General features: G+C 41.1%; 1 protein-coding gene across 5 annotated transcripts in view, besides 3 other annotated features; it reads left to right on the top strand.

Moving 5' to 3' along the window:
* Positions 1,439–1,498: an enhancer, noted in NCBI's record as "active region_24165". NCBI's record gives its function as "activates an Ori minimal core promoter by ATAC-STARR-seq in GM12878 lymphoblastoid cells {active_cell/tissue: GM12878}" and the evidence as "EXISTENCE:reporter gene assay evidence [ECO:0000049][PMID:35858748]".
* Positions 1,639–1,768: an enhancer, noted in NCBI's record as "active region_24164". NCBI's record gives its function as "activates an Ori minimal core promoter by ATAC-STARR-seq in GM12878 lymphoblastoid cells {active_cell/tissue: GM12878}" and the evidence as "EXISTENCE:reporter gene assay evidence [ECO:0000049][PMID:35858748]".
* Positions 3,749–3,918: an enhancer, noted in NCBI's record as "active region_24163". NCBI's record gives its function as "activates an Ori minimal core promoter by ATAC-STARR-seq in GM12878 lymphoblastoid cells {active_cell/tissue: GM12878}" and the evidence as "EXISTENCE:reporter gene assay evidence [ECO:0000049][PMID:35858748]".
* The window catches only part of RIPOR2 (RHO family interacting cell polarization regulator 2), a 237,885-nt gene continuing 232,673 nt past the window's right edge, over positions 15,856–21,067 (top strand). For all 5 annotated transcript variants that reach the window (XM_006715275.3, XM_011515012.2, XM_047419590.1 and 2 more), the window contains exon 1: positions 15,856–16,173. In XM_006715275.3, the coding sequence (XP_006715338.1) occupies positions 16,098–16,173 (76 nt within the window). In that variant the 5' untranslated portion in view covers positions 15,856–16,097. The remainder of the gene's footprint in view (positions 16,174–21,067) is intronic.

Genomic DNA, 21,067 nt, shown 5'->3' with positions numbered 1-21,067 from the left:
TTACATCAACAATTATTCAGTTCTTCATATCAAAGGCAATTGTAGTTTATATTTCTAAAATTAAGGTTAAAGAAATATGTCTAAAATTTCTGATTTCCAGAATTATCAACACCTTAGCAGAGAGCATCTTAAAATGACAGTATGGTTGTAAAACAAAAGAAAAAATAAGTGATTTTGTCAATAGTCTCAACCACAGATGGCAAAAGTCTGATGCAAATGCAATTCTTCTCTCTCTGGGACCATAAAAGAGGTCCTAACGCATCAGAGCAGTCTTTCTCACTAAGCCTGGATGAGGTCTCAGAATTCCTTTCAAGGCAGCATTCCAGGAAGCCATTATTAGGCTGTTGATGATGGCATCCTATGTATAGGATCCATCTGTGTGAGGCTGTGATTTTTGTTGTAAATTACAGAATCCTCTGGCTAGTGTATGCAAAAGGAGAGGTATAAAGGGCTACTAATAGCTCCAAAAAATCATTGGGAGGGTTGAAGGTACACAATCTAGACTGAACCTCTCAAAAGAACCGGTCTACTAAGGGAGCTGTTGCCAGCAGGGCCCCGGAAGCACCAGGCCTCTGCCATGATCAGGAAGCTTCTGGGTCCGTAGCTGCCCTGCCCCTGCTGGCTATTGCCACTATGCTTGTCAGAAGGTCCCCTCTCCCTGCACAAGGCCAACAGCTGACTTTTCTCACTCGCTCCTTCCAAGACTCACATCACTGCATCTGCTTAGCAGTGCCTAAGTCACATGAGGAGCTTGAGCTGCAAGTGAGTGTGGAGAATGAGTTTCCCCTACTACAGGGCAGGAAGACGCACGAGAAGAGGGAATGGAATTGGGCAAGCCAGTCTGTAGTTCTGCTTCACCATCTTGAGATGAATCTATGGCATTAGATATAGAAAAGAAGCATGGGAAAATTGGAAAGCACTGTAAGATATAAACATGGGAATTTGGCAATGTTCATCCAATGCTATCCAGGAGAGATGTCCCAGTGAGACAAATGTGCAGTCCTCTCCACAAGTAAGCCCTAAAAAGAGGAGAAGGAAACTTTGGGCCATTATAACTTGATGTAGAGTGATCAATTGTCCCAGTTTGCCTAGGACTGAGGGGTTTCCTGGAATGACTAGGAAAGTCTTGGGCAGACCAGGACAAACTGGTTACCCTAAGTCAATGACAAGAACCATCAGCATCCAACAACTAGACTTGGTTCAGATTCCACTCTCACTAAGCACATTTTGGATTGTGATTTGGACTTCCAGGTGTGTGGGAGATAATGCCTCAAAAACCTTTAGCACAAAGTCTGGTGTATAGTAAGCACTCAATAAATGCTTATATTTTTGTATTTTTAAAAGTTTGTTTCATTTTAAAATACGTTGGCCAGTTAACTGAAATGTTTAATTTTTCTTGGTAGTTTTTCTTCCTTTTTTACACGCCAGCATATTTTCTTTCGGATGTGGGTGTACATTGTTCTGTTGAGATTTTGCTTAGTTCGCGAGGTAGTTCCTGGTGATAGGTCTTGTCTTGGTGCCTTGGGTCGTAGGCACACTCTGGACCACACCTTAGAGTGTGAAGTCTCCATTAAGGCTTTCTCCCCTCTCTGAGGCTCTAAGTGGCAGCTACTGTTCTCTTCGGATATCACCTTACTTTGATCCATTTCCATGGCAACACCCTGTGGTATGAATGAGTATCTACCATACTTCCTGCTCAAGCCAGCTGTGGTGAAGGGAGGAAGCCTGAGAACTGTGGTCTCCTGAAGAGGAAGGGCACCCAAGTGGTGAAGGAGGCCCACGATGCCAAGGCTAGCTTCTCTTTCTTTACTGCAACTAGAAAGGCTGTGCTTCCTCCAGCAGTGGCCTCCCCTCAGGCCTGCCTTTGGGAACAGGCTGCACCCTCTGTTCCCAACCTTCCCTCCTTCTTTCATCCCATTCATAACGGTATGTCGTCTTCCCTCACAGCCTTTGCTCTTGTGTGTCTTTGGCCAAGAATGCCCTTCTCTTCACTCCTCTCCACTCCTGGATTCATTCCCCATCTTTCAAAGTATCGCTCAAACGCCACCTCCTCCCCAAACCTGCCTTGAGTTTCCTCCTCCTGTCAGAATTGGTTCTCCATCTTCTGGGTGCCTAAATGACTTACTGCTGCTGCTCTGACACCAATCACATTGTATCTGGTAGTATAGTGACAAGTTGTCTCTCCGTATCTGTGGGGAATCAGTTCTAGACCCCTGAGGACACCAAAATCCTCAGATGCTCAATCCCTGATATAAACTAGTGTAGTATTTGCATGTAACCTGCGCACAACCTACCATATACTTTAAATATCTCTTGATTGCTAATAATACCTAATACATATAAATGCTGTGTCCTTATACTGTATTGCTTTTCAATTTGTATTATTTTTATTGTGGTTTTATTATTTTTTATTTTTTCAAACCTTTTTTTTTTTTTTTTTTTTTGAGACGGAGTCTCACTCTTCCGCCCAGCCGGACTGCAGTGGTGCGATCTCGGCTCACTGCAAGCTCCGCCTCCCGGGTTCATGCCTTTCTCCTGCCTCAGCCTCCCGAGTAGCTGGGACTACAGGCGCCCGCCACCGCGCTCAGCTAATTTTTTGTATTTTTAGTAGAGATGGGGTTTCACCGTATTAGCCAGGATGGTCTCGATTTCCTGACCTCATTATCCGCCCACCTCGGCCTCCCAAAGTGCTGGGATTACAGGCGTGAGCCACCACGCCCAGCCTTTTCAAATATTTTTAACTGAGGTTGGTTGAATCCTAGTATGCAGAAGTCACAGATATGGAGGGCCACCTGTATTGTGTATCTTCTACATTCTCCATTGGATTTTAAGCTCCCAGGATAAAGGGTATCATTCATCTTTGTATGCCCAGTGCCTACTACATTTTTAAAAAGTGAATTGAATTAACCTCATAAGGAAGAAACCTTTAGACTTCTTGGACAATTTTCCTCAAGTAGGCTGGACACTCTCATGAGTCAAGGTGCCTTGGCAGAGATGTCAAGGAGAAAAGACCCCTTATTGTTCCTTTCTTTATCTCCCTTCAATTGCTTCCTCCTCCATCCTAAAAATGTATAAGAATAGATGTTACTCTAATCAGATGTCCCTTTGGGAACAAGCTGCATGAAACTTTTGAGAATCTCTGGTTTCATAGCACAAGTTTTAAAAGATGGTCTTTGTTATGCTGGTTGCTCACACATAAAATACAATGTTTAAAACATTGGTGAAAAACACATATATTTTATAACTGGGAAGTCTGGTTTGCAATGGTTTGTGAATATGGAAAGAGCCCTGAGCTATGAGTCAGAACTATTAATAATGCCTTAGGAACTAACTAGCTTTGTGGCTGTTGACAAGACATTTCTCCTCCTGAGGCTCTGTTCCCTCTACCATGAAACGAAGGTATGGGGCAGTGATGTCTGAGGTCTCATTGGCTCTGAAGTTCTGGGAGATTCTGATTTCATGGTTTACTTATAGGTAAAAAGAAGAGAAGCTGCCTTCGGGTGGTGGAGTCTTTAACCCACTTCTCTTCTGCCGAGACTGAAAAGGATCCAAATCTCATGGCATTAAGGTCAAAGAAAAAGTGACTTTTTAAAACTAAGTATAATAAGGAAATATTTCTCCTCTACATCTAGATATTTCTCCAGAGGGAGCTCACCACAAAAGTTAAACAGATCACTACTTTAAAAATGTTTTTCTGTTTAAATCAGGGCTGTTCCGTTGGGGCTGATTTAATCAAGAGAGAAAACAGACCTCTCTCTTGTCTCTACTCTGACTCATAAAGGCAACTCTGCTCCACTGATGTCAATTGGTCACTATTTGCATAATAAGTTATTCTAAAAGTTAAAATATCAGGCCCTTAATCACAGAAGAAAGGAAGACTTTTCAGTGAGGCCTTCCAGTGATTGCAGATTTAGAGGGCTCTTGGGACAGCCACTGGGTGGCTAAATTAGTAAGTTGACACCTAGTTACTGTTGATAGGAACAGGAAGCAGGGAAATTCTGCGCAGAAGAGGGCAGTTCCCTGGGTAGGTCCCCACTCTCAAGCTGAAACTCTTGATACTGCAGCCCAAAGTGAGAACTTACATCCCTGCTTTCCTGCTCAAATGTTGCCCTTTCCAAAACCACCCATAACCCACCCTGCCCCTCATTCTGTGCCCATAAAAACCCCAGGCTTGGCCAGCAGAGAAAGGAGAAGCAGCTGGACAACGAGGACTATGGTTGGAAGTTGGAGAGAAGCAGCTTGACTTCAGAGGGACAGCTTGATGGCATAGCTTCAGAGAGGAGTCTGACTGGGGATAGCCAGACTTCAGGGGAAGATTACCTTCCTGCTCCATCCCCTCTTTGGCTCCCCTTCCTGCTGAGAGCCACGTTCATTGGCAATAAAGTCCCCTGCATTTACCATCTTCAACTTGTTTGTGCAACCTCGTTCCTCCTGGATGCCGGACAAGAACTTGGGTGCCATGAGTGTGGTTGCAAAAGGCTATCGTGCTGATGCTCCACTGAGCTATTAACACTTAAGCTGTCTGCAGATGGCAAAGCTAAAAGGGCACTGTAACACTCCTTCTGGGCCTTCAGAGGTCGCAGGCGCCAGATGCTGCCTCGGGACCTGCACAGAGTTTTGCTCCTGCTAGTGCCTAAAAGCACTTGCCCCACCTCCTGCACCTGCTCACCTGTGTGCTCCCCATCCCATGAGTGAGTGGAATTCACCCCTGCTGGTGCTGAAGTGGCTGGCTAGTTCCAGCACCCCTGCACTCCAGTTTCCGCCCATTAAGGGGTCAGGGAAATATCATAGTTATTTCTGTATCTGTTTCTCCAGGCAGTGTCTAGATTTCTATCTTCTGAAGCTTAAACTCAATGCATAGGAACTTTCTTTTATGCCTAGGTGATGAGCCACTCAAACTAGACTCCTGGGTGTTGTAAATCAAAAATAAAATTCTAAGCCCCCTAACCATCTGAACAGAACCCTCCTCTTAGCCAAGGGCATTCCAAAGTTAACCTGAAAAACTAGTTCAGGCCATGATGGGAAGGGGGTGTCAGACCTGCCTCATTAAACTCTCCTCCCTTTTGGAATTCAGGAAAAGCTGACCAGCATTAACATCAACACAGACCTTAAAGCTGATAAGAAACATTTACAATCTATTCTCTGCTACCCAGAGGCTTCATCTGTATGATAAAATTATGGTCTCCACAACTTTTCATCATAACCCAGACATTTCTTTTCTATTGATCCCAGGTCTTTAGATAAACTCAATTGTCAACCACAAAAATTTTAAATCTACCTGTAACCTGGAAGCTCCACCCCAACTTTGAGTTGTCCTGCCTTTCTGGACTGAACCATTGTATAGCTTCAATGTATTAGATTGATGTCTCATGTCTCCCTAAAATGTATAAAACCAAGCTGTGCCTTGACCACCTGGGGCACATGTTCTCAGGATCTCCTGAGGGCTGTGTCATAGGACATGATCATTCATATTTGGCTCAGAACACATATCTTCGAATATTTTACAGAGTTTGATTCTTTTCATCAACAAGTAGGAGGCAGAATCAGGTGGGTCAGTTGTTGGTTTGAATGTGGGACATAAGGGCTAGGAAGCAAGGAGTAGCACCTAGGGCACTGTCTTGAGCAACTGGGTAGAAGGTCATCAAGACAGGAAATGCTGGTGAAGCCAGTTTGGGAGGGAGAAAGAGAAGGAAGGAGAGAGGGCAGTAATGGGCTGTGTCTGACTAGAAGAGAACAGATAAGATGCAGACACTGTCCTCTCTTCTAGCCTCATAGCTTTTTCTTTCATACTCCAAAATTGTCTGCCTTGATTCCACAAAAACTGTCTCCCAAAAGTGTTCTAAGCCTTAAAAATGCCTTGAAATCTTATCGGAGCAGCAGTGGAAAGCACATTGTATTGAGGTTTGGGGAGAAGGTGTGGTACAACTTGGTCCTGATCTACCAACCTGCTGTGCCAACTTGGAGGTGTCTCCTAATCTGAGGGTCAGTTTCATTTTCTGTAAAATGAGACATTTGGATATGAGGTTGTCTAGGGTAATTCTCTAATAGTTGTCCAATTTTCTAATTCTTTATTATTCAATAATTGCCTTTGTCAAAGTTACATGGTATATGTTTTAAAAATAGAATGTTATGAATGAATGGTTACACTGCAATGTTTATTTGCTTAATTTGAAGAGTTAGTATAGGTTGTGGTTAAATATTTGGGCTCTAGAGCCAGACTACCTCAATTCAAATCTCATCTCAGCCACTTGCTGGGCGTGTGACCATGGCAAGTTACTAAACTTCTCTGTGCCTCAGTTGCCCTATCTGCAAAATGGTCACGGGATTATTATATGACAATCATATGAATTAACACATGTGAAGTACTCTATGTGTTGGATTATTATTTAGAGTATTGTTTAACCTTCACTTTTTTATATGTAAAATAGGATTGCTAATAACTCCTCATGAATAAGAATGTAGGGGAAATAAAGTGAAACCACATGTCTATTAAAAGCATGCAACACACAGCCTATCTCTCCATAAGTGCTCAATAAATGTGTGTAGACAACCAGATAGCCACAGCTAGAACCTGACCCCTACTTCCATTTCAATTTCCAAAGAGCAAACTGAGACCTCATGTTCTTTTTGTATGTATTTGCCACAGAAGAGAAATAAATCAGGTGCTGTGCTATCGTTTTCCTCCTGGTGCTTGATAAGCTTTTATGTTAAAATAATGCCAAGTTTTCCTTGTTGACTTTCTATAAAAGTCACACAACGTACTTTGGCTCAGCAGTTGCCATTCTCCACTGAGTAACTGAAGGTCTGTTTCTCCCCAGGATGGTTTTAAAGTAGAAACAGACATGCTGATGCTTTTTCTCCTGAGTCTAACATCTAGCTTCCATTTATTAAAAATGAGTTGAAGGAAAAATGAAGAAAGGATCACATAATTATGTCTTTTTCCCCATATTCTCTTAAACACATTGCTCCTTGCAGACTGTACATGCTTCCACCGTGAAATTCTGCGATTTATGAAAATTTAATAGCAACACGAGCCCAAGAAAGAGTAAAAATTGATATTGTACACTTAACACAAATGAAACTGTTCCTTGGGAGAATAACACCCCGCAAGGCTATTTATTCCAGGCATTTATGAGTGTGTACCTGATAAAAGAAAATATAAAGCATGAAGAGTCAGGAAACGGAGCCCTACGTAGGAGCCATGGATCTTCAGCATTGTCAACCTGACCGGAAAGAACAACAAAAGATGGTGGCAAGTCCTCCACTTCTTGTTCCATACACCCACCCGCTAGTCTTTCTATGATTATAATGAGGAAACTGGCAAGATCTGTATTTAAATTCACAAGAGCAGAGAAAATGCAAACTTTTCAACTGCCTCTCATTTTAGACCTAACTGTACTTTCCGCCCCCTCTGGCCTGCTGTTCTCTCTCATCTGCTATTGTAAATTATGTACATCAGAAACGTTGGTGACTCATGCAGCAGAGGCTTTAGGAAATGTGTGGCTTAATGAGGAGGAAAGAAGGTCTGACGCTGATTGCAAAAAAAAAAAAAAAAAGCACTTGATTTTTTTGTATCACATTCTCCACATTCAAGTTCATTGCTTGCACAGAATTTCAAGCGCCATATAATAAAAGAAGGTGATAGAGGGAACATAGTCACAGTACCGTGACAGCTTCTGGAAGATTTCTCTCATCTCGAATTTGCCTCCTTGGCAGCTATCTGATTTGATTTATGTTAAATGCCGTATAGAACAGAAAAGTGTTGCAATTAACAATTGTAAAAACCAAGAAGAGAGGAGACTGTTAGAACAATATCCATTTCTAGGTCTCCCAAATATAGTTTTCTTTTCTTTTCCAACTTTTATTTTAGATTCAGGGGGTACGTGTGCAGGATTGTTACCTAGGTATATTGTGTGATGCTGATGTTTGGGGTATGATGATCCTGCCACCCAGGTACTGAGTGTAGTAACAACGGTTGGTTTTTCAAACCTTGCCCTCATCCCTCCCTCCCTGCTCTAGTAGTCCGCAGTGTCTATTGTTCCCATCATTATGTCTGTAAGTACCCATTGTTTAGCTCCCACTTATAAGTGAGAACACACAGTCTTTGGATTTCTGTTCCTGCATTAATTTGCTTAGGATAATGGCCTCCAGTGGCATCCATGTTGCTGCAAAGGATATGATTTCACTTTTTGATGTCTATGTAGTATTTCGTGGTGTATATGTACCACATTTTCTTTATTCAATCCACAATTGATAGGCATCTAGGTGGCTCCATATATCTTTGCCATTGTGAATAGTGCTGTGATGAACATGTGAGTGTATGTGTCTTTTGGGTGGAACAAGTTGTTTTCTTTTCAGCATATGCAGAGTAATGGGATTGCCGGGTGGAATGGCAGCTCTGTGTTAAGTTTTTGAGAAATCTCCAAACTGCTTTCTACAGTAGCTGAACTAATTTACATTTCCACCAACTGTGTATAAGTGTTCCCTTTTCTCTGCAGCCTCACCAACATCTGTTGTTTTTTGACTTTTTAATAAGAGCCATGCTGACTGGTGTGAGATGATTTCTCATTGTGGCTTGTATTTGCATTTCTCTAATAATTAATGATGTGGAGCATTTTTTAATGTTTTTTGGCCACTTGTATGCCTTCTTTCGAGAAGTGTCTGTTCATGTCTTTTGCCCATTTTAAAGGGGTTAATTTTTAATGGGTTATTATTATTATTTGCATGTTCAATTGTTTAAGTTCCTTATAGATTCTGGATATTAGACCTTTGTTGGATACATAGTTGCAAATATTTTCTCCTATTTTGTAGGTTGTCTGTTTACTCTGTTGATAGGTTCTTCTGCTGTGTGTGCAGAAGCTCTTAAATTTAATTAGGTCCCACTTGTCATTTTTTTTGTTGTGCTTGCTTTTGAGGACTTAGTCATAAATTCTTTTCCAAAGTCGATATCCAGAATGAGCTTCCTAGGTTTTCTTCTAGGATTCTTATAGTTTGAGGTTTTTCATTTAAATCTTTAATCCATCTTAATTTTTGTATACGGTGAAATGGAGGGGTCCAAGTTCATTATTCTGCATACGGCTAGCCAGCTATCCCCATGCGATGTATTGAATTTTCTCCATTGCTTATTATTGTTGACTTTGTTGAAGATTAGATGGCTGTAGTTATGCAGCTTTATTTCTGGGTTCTCTATTCTGTTCCATTGGTCTATGTGTCTGTTTTTGTACCAGTACCAAGCTATTTTGTTTACTGCGGCCTTATAGTATAGTTTGAAGTCAGATAATGTGATGCCTCTGGCTTTTTTCTTCTTGCTTAGGATTGCTTTGGCTATCTAGGCTCTTTTTTGGTTCCATATGAATTTTAGCATAGTTTTTCTCCAATTCTGTAAAAAATGACGTGAGTAGTTTGATAGGAATTGTGTTGTATCTGCAGATTGCTTTGGGCAATATAGCCATTTTAATGATACTGATTCTTCCAATCCATGGACATGGAATGTTTTCCATTTGTTTGTGTCATCTGTGATTCCTTTTGGCAGTGTTTTGTAGTTCTCCCTGTAGAGCTCTTTCACCTCCTTGGTTACATGTATTCCTAGGCATTTTATTTTTGTGTGTGTAACTATTGTAAATGGGATTGCATTCTTGATTTGGCTCTCAGCTTGAACGTTATTGGTGTATAGAAATGCTACCAATTTTTGTATATTGATTTGGTATCCTTAAACCTTGCTAAAATGATTTATCTGTTCTAATAGCCTTTTGGCAGAGTCCTTAGGGTTTTCTAACTATAGAATCACATCACCAGCAAAGAGATATGGCTTGACCTCTTTTCCTATTTAGTTGCCTTTTTTTCCTCTTGCCTGATTGCTGTGGTTAGCCCTTCCAGTACTATGCTGAATAGGAGTGATGAGAGTGGGCATCCTTGTCTTATTCTAGTTCTCAAGGGGAATGATTCCAGGTTTTGCCTGTTCAGTATGATGTTGTCTGTGAGTTTGCCATAGATGGCTCTTATTATTTTAAGGTATTTTCCTAAGGTATGTTCCAGTGCCTAGTTTCGTGAGGGTTTTTTAAAATCATGAAGGGATGTTGTATTTTATCAAAAGCTTTTTCCATGTCTATTGAGATGATCAAATGGTTTTTGTTTTTAATTCTGTTTATGTGGTGTTATATATAGATTTGCATACGTTGACCTTGCATCCCAGGAATGAAGCCTGCTTGATCATGGTGAATTAACTCTTTCAGATGTGCTGTTGAATTTGGTTTGCTAGGTGTTTTTTTTTTTTTTTTTTTTTTAAAGACAGGGTTTCACTCTGTTGCCCAGGCTGGAGTGTACTAATGCAATCATGGCTCACTACAGCCTCGAGCTCCTGGGCTCAAGTGATCCTCCCACCTCAGCCTCCTGACTAGCTGGGACTACAGGCATATGCCACTATGCCTGGCTAATTTTTGTTTTTGTGTTTTTTTGTGGAGATGGGGTTTCGCCATGTTGCCCAGGCTAGTCTTGAACTCATGAGCTCATGCAATCCACCTGCCTTGGCCTCCCAGAGTTCTGGGATTATAGGTATTAGCCGCTGTGCCCAGGCAGTTTGCTAGTATTTTATTAAGGATTTTTGCATCTATGTTCATTAAGGATATTGGCCAATAGTGTTCTTTCTTCATTGTGTCTTGGCCAGGTTTTTGTACCAAGTTGATGCTGACTTCATAGAATGAGCTGGTGATATGGTTTGGCTGTGTCCTCATTTGTCAAGGATGAAGCCAGGTGGAGATAATTGAATCAGGGGACAGTTTCTCCCATACTGTTCTCATGGTAGTGAATAAGTCTCATGAGATCTGATGGTTTTATAAATGGGAGTTCCCCTGCACAACCCCTCTTGCCTCCCATCATGTAAAATGTGCCTTTGCTTCTCCTTTGCTTTCCACCGTGATTGTGAGGCATCCCTAGCCATGTGGAACTGTGAGCCTGTTACATCTCTTTTTCTTTACACATTACCCAGTCTCGGGTATGTCTTTATTAGCATTATGAGAACTGACAAATACAGCTAGGGAGGAGTCCCTTCTCCCCAGTTTTTTGGAATAGTTTCAGTAGAATAGGTACCAGATCTTCTTTGTACTTCTGGTAGAATTCAGCTGTGAATCCATCTAGTCTGGAGTTTTCTTGGTTGATAGTATTTTTTAATACAGATTCAATTTCAGAAGTTGATATTGGTCTGTTTAGTGTTTCAATTTCTTCCTGATTCAATCTTAAGAGATTGTGTGCCTCTAGGAATTTTTCCATTTCTTCTGGATTTTCTAGTTTGTGTGCATAGATGTAGTCATAATAGTTTCTGAGGATCTTTTGTATTTCTGTGGAATTAGTTGTAATGTCACCTTTGTTGTTTCTGATTGTGCTTATTTGGATCTTCTCTCTTTTTTTTCTTTGTCAGTCTAGCTAGTGGTCTATCAATCTTGTTTATCCTTTCAAAAATCCAACTTTTGCTTTCACTGATTCTTTGAATGGATTTTTGGGTCTCAATTTCATTCAGTTCTTGTCTGATTTTAGTTCTTCCTTTTCTTCTACTAGCTTTGGAATTAGTTTGGAACTTGTTTCTCTAGTTCCTTTAGGTGTGATATTAGATTGTTAATTTGAGATCTTTCTAACTTTCTGAGTTAGGCATCTAGTGCTATAAGCTTTCCTCTTAACATTGCTTTTGCTGCACCCCAAAGATTTTGGTATGTTGTATCTGTTTTATTTCAAATTTTTTTTAATTTCTTCCTTGATTTTGTTGTTTGCCCAAAAGTCATTCAGGAGCAAGTTGTATAATTTCCATGTAATTATGTGGTTTTGAGAGATCTTTTTGGTATTGATTTATATTTTTATTCCACTGTGATCTGAGAGTATGGTATAATTTTGATTTTTAAAAAATTTATTGAGACTTGCTTTATGGCCAAGCATATGGTCGATTTTGAAATATGTTCTGTGTGCAGATGAGAAGAATGTGTATTCTGTCATTGATCAGTGGAGGATTCTGTAGATGTCTATTAGGGCCAATTGCTCAAGTATCAAGTTTAAATCCAGAATTTCTTTATTAGCTTTTTGCCTCAATGATCTATCTAATGCTGTCAGTGTGTTATTGAAGTCCCCGACTATTATTGTGTGGTTGTATGAGTCTTTTCATAGGTCTAGAAGTACATTTTTATGAATCTAGGTGCTCCAATGTTGGGTGTGTATATATTTAGTATAGTTAAGTCTTCTTGTTGTATTGAATTCTTTATCATTGTGTAGTGCCCTTCTTTGTCTTTTTTATTGTTGTTGGTTTAAAATTTGTTTTATCTGATATAAGAAGAGTGATTGCTGCTTTTTATAGTTTTCCATTTGTGTAGATCTTTCTCCAACCCTTTACTTTGCACCCATAGGGGTGTCACGATGTGTGAAATGGGTCCCTTGAAGACAGCAGACAGATAGGGTTTTTTTTTTTTTTGTATCTAATTTGCCGCTCTGTGCCTTTTAAGTGGGGTGTTTAGGCCATTTACATTCAAGGTTAATATTGATATGTGAGGTTTTGACCCTACTGTGAAGTTGATACCTGGTTGCTTTGTAGCTTCTATTGTGCAATTGCTTTATCGAGTCTGTTGGTTACGTACTTAACTCTGTTTTTGTGGTAGCAGGTATTGCTCTTTTGTTTCCATGTTTAGAAGTCCCTTAAGGATTTCTTGTAAGCTGTTCTAGTGGGAAAAAAAATTCCCTTAGCACTTGCTTGTCTGGAAAAGATTATATTTCCCTTTTCTTATGAAGCTTAGTTTGATGAGATATGAAATTCTTGGTTGGAATTTCTTTTCTTTCAGACTACTGAACACAGGCCCCCAATCTCTCTTGGTTTATAAGGTTTCTTCTAAGAAATCTATTGTTAGCCTGATGGGGTTCCTTTAGTATGTAATTTGCCCTTTTTCTCTAACTATCTTTGAGATTTTTTTCTTTAGCATTGACCCAGCCTGGTGACTGTATTCCTTAGTGATGTTCATTTTGTATAGTATCTCACAGGTGTTCGCTGGATTTTTTTGTATCTGGATGTCTATCTCTCTGGCAAGATTAGGGAAATTTTCTTGAATTATTCCACCAAATATATTTTCCAGGTTGTTTATTTTTTCTCCTTCTCTCCCAGGAATGCCAATAATTCATAAGTTTGGTTGCTTTACATAATCGCATATTTTTTGAAGACTTTGTTCCTTTTTTAAAATTCTTTTTTCTTAATTTTTGTCTGACTGTGTTAGTTCAAAAGACCAGTCTTTAAGCTCTGAAATTCTTTCTTCTGCTTGGTCCAGTTTACCAAATATAGTTTTCTTATGCTGCATTTGCCATTCTAGGGAATTGTGTTCAGTGGCAATAGTCAAGAAAACCTCACTGGCTACCTTACGTAGATTTTGTCTTAATTTTGGTCTCTACCTTTCCCCCCTAATTCAGAAAATGAGTCTTGGGGAGCTGGCACATGAGGGATCAGGATCCACAAGAAATTGTCTAGACCAGGAATGTCCCACATGACCTGCAATTGCCAGTTAATGTAATGACTCAGAGTGGTGGTCCCTCAGGTAAACAAAGACACTCTGCAAATAGATTTATAGAATACAAAGGGCCTTTACAAGCTGGAAAAGGCAAGGAACAGATCCTCCACCGGAGCCTCCAGAAGGAATGCAGCTCTGCCTATACCTCGACTTTCACCCTATAAGACCCATTTCAGACTTTGACCTCCAGAACTGAAAGATGATAGATCTGTGTTGTTTTAAGCCTTTAAATTTGTGGTAATTTGTTATAGCAGCAGTAGGAAACTAATACACAGAACTTGTGATATAAAGTATCCCAGACCCCCTCATATTGCAGATAAGGAAACAGAGGCCCAGGGAATTTGCCAACTTTCATGAAGTCACATGGCTAGTTAATAATAGCTGCTGACAACATTGAGAAATTCCTCTATGCTAAACACAAGTCTTAGTCCTTAGCATGTATTTACTCATGAAGTCATCAGCATAACCCTAAGGCAGCGGCCCTCATTCTTATCCTCACATTTTATAGATTAAGAGACTGAGGCATAAGGATGTTAATGTCATGAAGATACTAAATAGGGTGCTACGAGTTTGCACCCAGGCATTTCTGCTCTGGAATGCACTCTCTTTACCACCAGACATAGTGACAGAAGGGGAGCCTGAGCTCTTGGGTGCCAGTCCAGTATCCTACCAACTTCTAAAGAGTTACTTGATCTCATTTCCTCTTGACAACTCTGAAATCTGTAGGTCATTCCCATTCTAAGTGAAGAAAACAAGACACCGAGACCAAGAGATGTGCCTAAAGCACTCACCTGGTCAGTTGCAATTACAAGCCTTTTGACTCCCATCTCTTGGTAGTTTCCCCCAGTCCCTCTGCTTCTGGCACCATGAGAGACACAAAAGATAAATGACAGAGTTTCTGCCATCAGCAAGTTTATGGGTTATCTTGGGCTAAATTTGGTAACTTGGGTGTCACTTTTTTCAGTTCCATCCTCAGGGCAAGACTACTCCTGAGGCCTTGATCAATAACTGTTTGTTCTCTGGAGCAATCTGACATTGCACAGAGGAAAAGCTTGGAACAAAGTAAGCAATCAATGTACTGAGCTTCCCCTGCCAGGGGCAGCTTTAGAATGTCTATGTAAGAGAGTCTTCAGCCACATATTTGGAAGAGGCTGTAGCACCTAAGTGTGGTATTATAGCCAACATAATGTATTTAGTTAGAGTGTATTTTTACTTGGGGAATTTTGAGGAGGAGCTGATGGAGATTTAGGGGGCTGACTAAAACTGCCCCAAACCACCCCTTGATGTACCACTTCCCCATGTAAACCCCTGTATGTTGCAGCTCAGAAAGAGGAATATACAGTTCTCGCCACCAAGAAGCTTACTCAGTATTTGAATGTGGGCAATTTTTTTTTCTTTTCTCTTTTTTCTTCATACAGTCTTTCTCTGTTGCCCAGGCTGGAGAGCAAAAGTGCAATCATAGCTCACTGCAACCTTGAACTCTTCCCTCAGGCAATCCTCCTGCCTCAGCCTCTGGAGTAGCTGGGACTATAGGCACACACCACCAAGACCAACTAATTTTAAAATTTTTTGTAGAGATAGGGTCCTGCTGTGTTGCCCTGGCCTCAAGTGATCCTCCCACCTCAGCCTCCCAAAGCGCTGAGATTACAGGTGTGAGCTACTTCATCCAGCCTGGATGCGTGCTTTAAAAGAAATCAGAGAACAAACAAAACGCCTAACAAATTTGGGCAGTGCAGACATGGGCCACCTGCAGGTGAGAGCAATAGGTGCGTGGAGGACAGCCCCATGTCTATGGCTTCAGGAAAGCCTCATGTAAAATGAGGCTTTGAAGTATGAACTAGTAGGTGAGGGGCAAGTGTGATCGTAGGTGGAGAAAAAGAATGGGTGAGAAAATTCAAATAGACATATTTGAAGACAGTGCACTGGGCAGATTAACTGGTGAAAAAGAAAGTATGAAATCACTTATGTTGGTTATCACCGAATCATTCTTTCAGTCAACAAATATTTATTGCTCACCTACCAAGTGCCAGGCACTATATTAGATACCGGAGACCCAGCAGTAAATAAATCATACGCCCTAAAAGGTAAGGGGTGTTGCTCTGATTCAGCTCTAGCAGCAAAGCTCTGCTCTTCATTTCTGCCTACAGAGAGGGATTCCCATTTCAGCCCATTCCTGCGTGCAGTCAGACACACCTGCCCTCCCCCTGCCATTGCACGGCTCCTCTGACGCGAGGGCAGACACAGGAGCCCGGTGATCGTCTCTGCTTGAATAAATTACCGCCCCATCATCTTCATGCATAAAACATGGCACAGGAGGCTAGGGCAGCCCAGCACAGCAGCTGCCTTCGGGCCAGTCGGAAGTTAAGGGAAGGAAAGGCAAGGCAAGTTACAAGATAAAAGAAGTCAACGGAAGCCTCAAATACTCTTTTTTTTTTTTTTAAGAAAAGAACAAAAAGGGGGGGGTTAAGTTTTCTTTTTCATTTTTATACGTCTGGACTTAACTTCCAGGATAGCTGCAAGACCCTTTTGTTCCTTTGCCATGAGCAGGTTTTAGGCCGCTCTGTTGGGACCATGGTGTTACCTTCGCGATTACACTGGATCAGAAACAGGCCATGGAGGGACAGGATCCGGAGGCGCCAGCTCAACCGTGAGTGTCCCGTCTGGTGTTACCTACTCTCTGCCTTTGTTTTCCACACTTTCCCGCAACACACTCATTTCTTGCCCTCTGCAAATCTTCTCCAATCTTTCCCCCTTCCTCCTCTCTTCCACTTTCCTGTGCTCCGTTTTCCAATGGACTTTGGTATTTTTTTACCGACTCTCTCTCTTCCTATTTCCTTCCCAGCCCTATCCTAATTAGAGGTAACTAGATACATTTTGTTTCAAGTGGTGAGCAAGACAGGGCCACAGGGCCTCTTTTCTTTATTTCTCCAACCAGATGGAAAATACAAATAAATATTTACATCGGTCAAGGAGTCATGTGAATTGGAATTTTTGTTTATTACAGTGGGGAAAAAAATGGAACATCTGAATCAAACAGGTTATCAGCAGTGTCGCTAGATGAGGTGAAATTCAAGGATCAGTGAGTCATATTTCCTTTAAAGGGCCCAATTGTATGCTTCTTAAATTATCAAACTCACAACTGAGTAGACAGGAACTCTAACCAAAAGGGAGTTTTTAGTGCTGGAGTAATCTGAGAATGAAAAAGCATTTCCTATGTATGCCAAGACCATTTCTCATGAACAAGTAACAAATTTGTGTGTGTCTGTTTTTAGAGATGTTTATTTATCTCAGATGTCAGCAAATTCAAATGGGTGGAGGGCTGGGCTGCTAAGAAGAATGAGTGAAAGGGGTCTGTTTTCACAGGGGTAAGGAATAGTTCACTTTCTTCCTGTCTCTGTTGTGAGAAAAATGATAGTGAAAGCATGATGATAAATGACAACTGACATTTGGCCTCAATATGAGGTAGCAATAGGCAGTGGTAGAGGGTGCAGCAAATGGGGAAATATGTGTCCCATCATAGTGGGGCACCCACCATTCAATGCCATCAGATTGTTTCCATGAGGAATGGGGTAGAGGTTGGTGGATTTTCCAATTTTTCAAAAAAAGCAGGCAGATGCGGTAGCTCATGCCTGTAATCCCAGCACTTTGGGAGGCCAAGGCGGGAGGATCATGACGTCAAGAGATCGAGACCACCCTGGCCAACATGGTGAAACCCTGTCTCTACTAAAAATACAAAAATTAGCCGGGCGTGGTGGTGGACGCCTGTAATCCCAGCTACTCAGGAGGCTGAGGCATGAGAATCACTTGAACCCAGGAGGTGGAGGTTGCGGTGAGCTGAGATCGTGCCATTGCACTCTAGCCTGGGCAACAACAGCGAAACTCTGTCTCGAAAAAAAAAAAAAAAAGCAAGAAACACTAATTTCTATGTGAAAGCTCTCAAGTTTAAATGTTGGCAGTTTATTCTTTGAATTTTAAATATGTAATACCAATGTTCTGAGGCAACGTGTGACAACTGTGGACCACCAGTAGCCAAGCCCTGGTTTATGTGCTAGGTGTTGTTCTCATTAGAAGTCCATCACACAGGCCGGGCGCGGTGGCTCACGCCTGTAATTCCAACACTTTGGGAGGCCGAGTTGGGCAGATCACCTGAGGTGAGGAGTTGAAGAGCAGCCTGGCCAACATGGTAAAACCCCATCTCTACTAAAAATACAAAAATTAGCCAGGCGTGGTGGTGGGCACCTGTAATCCCAACTACTCAAGAGGCTGAGACTGGAGAATCGCTTGAACCCAAGAGGCGGAGATTGCAGTGAGCGGAGATTGTGCCATTGTACTCCAGCCTGGGCGATGAGCGAAACTCCATCTAAAAAAAAAAAAAAAGTAGAAGTCTATCACACAGTGTTCTTTATGCCTAGATGCCTAGTTATATGTTGGCAACTCTTCCTTATGTGTTAAAAGCCCCTGGTATAGACAATTAAATTAAGATGAATGAGTGGCTTAGGAACATGTATCCAAAATAGTCACAGTCTACTAGTTTCGGAGGCAAGCTGAGCTGGTTGGATTCCAAATGACAATTCAAAGACAAGCAAACAATTTGCATCAAGCAAAATACTTCTTTTTCTTTGATATAATTGAAGAAGCCATCAGTTTTCTCTGGGCCTTTACCTTCTTGATCATGTTTCTTTTACTTGCGCGTACCTTAAATTTAAATTCCAGTTTTTATGAAACTTCATTCTATATCTGTAGGAAATTAGTTGTGATCCTAAGTTTTAATCCAATACCTCCGTTATGGAATCCGTCACTGAGAAAAGCTGGATTATGGATCTGCATGGTTTCACTAGTATGGATGGGAAGTCGGCCTATACTCTTAAAATAAGAGTTATCAGAAAAGCCTGCTTTACTACAGAAATTTCACTTAAATTTTGAGACTAACATCTGAATACTGTGCTGATTTCTGCATGGTTTTAATATGAAATGATATATTAATAGATGTTGAATGTAAGCTCAACATTAAGCAGGCTGGTCCTGACCTCTTTGGCATAATGCCTAAGGAGGGAATTCTGATATTCTTCCAGGATGGTCAAGAGCCCTGCTGCATGAGAGTCAGTGTGAGTTAGAAACAGGAACAGGATCAAGTGACATTTTTGGAGGGTTGCATTTTCCAACTCACAAAAGACCTGTGCATGTTTGCAGGCAGCGAATCAGAGAAAGTGGAAAGGGAGAAAGAGTGAAGACACCTGCGAGGGAAGGACGCTTATCACTGCAAATGTCAGCCTGCAAGGGTGGCCCTCAACAATATTTTGCAGCTGCTAAAATCTGCTTTGATAACGTTTCCTGTCTTCTTTCTCTGAAGCTTTTCTCATAGGTCAGCGTTTCCTCCAACTTGGGGACTCAAGTTATATAATCCTTTGGGGTTATTTTGTCATTAAGAAAAATAAATTAGTAAACCCCTTTTCTTTAAATACACAGAGGGACCTTGAATGGCGATAGGAGGGACATGTGCCACCACTGTCCATTTCCATGCCCATGCAGACATTGGTAATCAACCACAGCTCTCTCCTTTTTCCCCACGGGGGCCAGGCCCTGGCTTGGAATCCTTTCTAATATAGTGCCTTAAGCTGCCATGTCTAATCAATTAGAATTGCCTCACTGGTTGAAATTTATGTTTGTTTTCTAGTGCTTTGTAACAAATTACCACAAGTTTATTGCCTTAAAACAACATACATTTTTTATCTCACAGCTTCCATGGGCATGAATTAGCTGGATTCTCTGCTCAGGGTCTCCCAAGGCTGCAATGAAGGTGTTCTCTGGGGCTGCAATCTCATCTAAGGCTCAGGGTCTCCTTCCAAGCTCAATGGTTGTGGGCAGAATTTAGTTCCTTGCAGTTGTAGGCCTGAGGCCTTCAGCAACTAAAGGCCACCCATTGTTCTCTGCCACATGACCCTCTCCATAACATGGTAGTTTGCTTCCTCAAGGCCAACAAGGGTCTTTTGCTGCTTATAGACTCTTCTTTAAAGGGCTCACCTGATTAGGTCAGGCCCACCCAGGATAATCTCTCTTTTGATTAGTTAAAAATTGACTGATCAAGGACTTTAATTACATTTGAAAAATCCCTCATTTTTGCCATATAACATAATCTAATCACAGAAGTAAAATCTCATCATATTTATACCCAAGGTTCAAGAACTATACAGAACCTGTATGCCAAGGGGCAAGAATCGTGGGGCCATCTTCAAATTCTGCTTACTACAAAACCTAATTGTCATCTTTGCAATAGAACTTCGATTTTGAGCTACTGGAAAGCTTTAGGTTTTTTGTTTGCTCATTTGTTTGTTTTTGTTTTACTTTTTATTATGAGAATTTTCAAACATTCAGTAAAGTTGAGAAAATAGTATAATGAATCTTATATATCTATCACCTAAATTTAACAATTATTAACATTTTGCCATATTTGCTTCATCTAATTTCCTGTTGAAACATTTAAAAATAAATCAGACATTATGACATTTTAGTAAGAGCGTCTCTAAAAAATAAGTACATTTTTCTACATAACTGCGTAATAAAATTAACAATGATCCCCACATATTATTTAATACCCGGACCATATTCAAATCTCCCCAGGTGAGAACAAATCCTTAATAAGCTCTGCATGCCTGTAACCCTTAGTAAAATACCTGGTACCTCATCTACTCAATAACCGTTTGGGTTCCATCAAAATTAAACTCATAGTAAAGCAATGGATCCCAAAGTTCATCTTCCCTAAGCCTTCCTCACTTCTTCCTTTCACCCCCAGAATCTGTAATGAAATATTTATTTTCTTTTCTAGTCCATAGCAGTGTAGTAAAAAAATAATAATAATAATCAAACCAAGGTATGAGAACGGTAATATGTTACCCTTCTTAGGGATATTTGAATTTTAAAAGAGGCCAAAGGTCACTACAAAGACACACATGTGTGATACTGAGCAGACATTCGGGAGAAGGACCTATCTGGTGTCCTGTAAACCCTGTCAAGCTGCTTACCTGTGACCTGCCCAGGTAAAGAGGAGTATAGACACAGCAACAGCCCGTGGGTGCCTGGGCCTTCTACATGATGACAGCAGGGTCAGGGCAGGGCACGGGAATGAGGGGTGGGCACAGATAACTGAATGCCCCGAGAGCCTTTCTTTCCTTTAGTCTGCCACAGTTGGGGTGGGCGATTAAAGGAAAGAAACCCTGAAAAGTATATAAGCTTTGACAACCAGGAGATTTGGCTTCAAATCCTGCTTCTACAACTTCTTAGCTGTTGGCCTGTGGGCAATTTATTCCACCTCCCTGAATGCCCACTTCCTCAACCTTAAAATGCTTATTACAGTAACACCCACCTCCCATTGTTATTGGAGGGGATTAAAAGACATAAAATATGTCAAGTGCCTAGCACAGTTCCTGGCAATGTAGCTATTGGGAGCTGAGGGCCTAAAAATGGTAATAGTGGCATTTGAGGCAGTATGAAGGGCTTACCATTGCCACCTCCACATTTTTTCCCAAAATAATGGGAGACATGTC

The sequence above is a fragment of the Homo sapiens genome, chromosome 6 (genome assembly GCF_000001405.40).
Source record: "Homo sapiens chromosome 6, GRCh38.p14 Primary Assembly".
Classification (NCBI taxonomy): domain Eukaryota; kingdom Metazoa; phylum Chordata; class Mammalia; order Primates; family Hominidae; genus Homo; species Homo sapiens.
The sequence above is the reverse complement of the archived record's forward strand: the minus strand, read 5'-3'. Positions and strand labels throughout refer to the sequence as shown.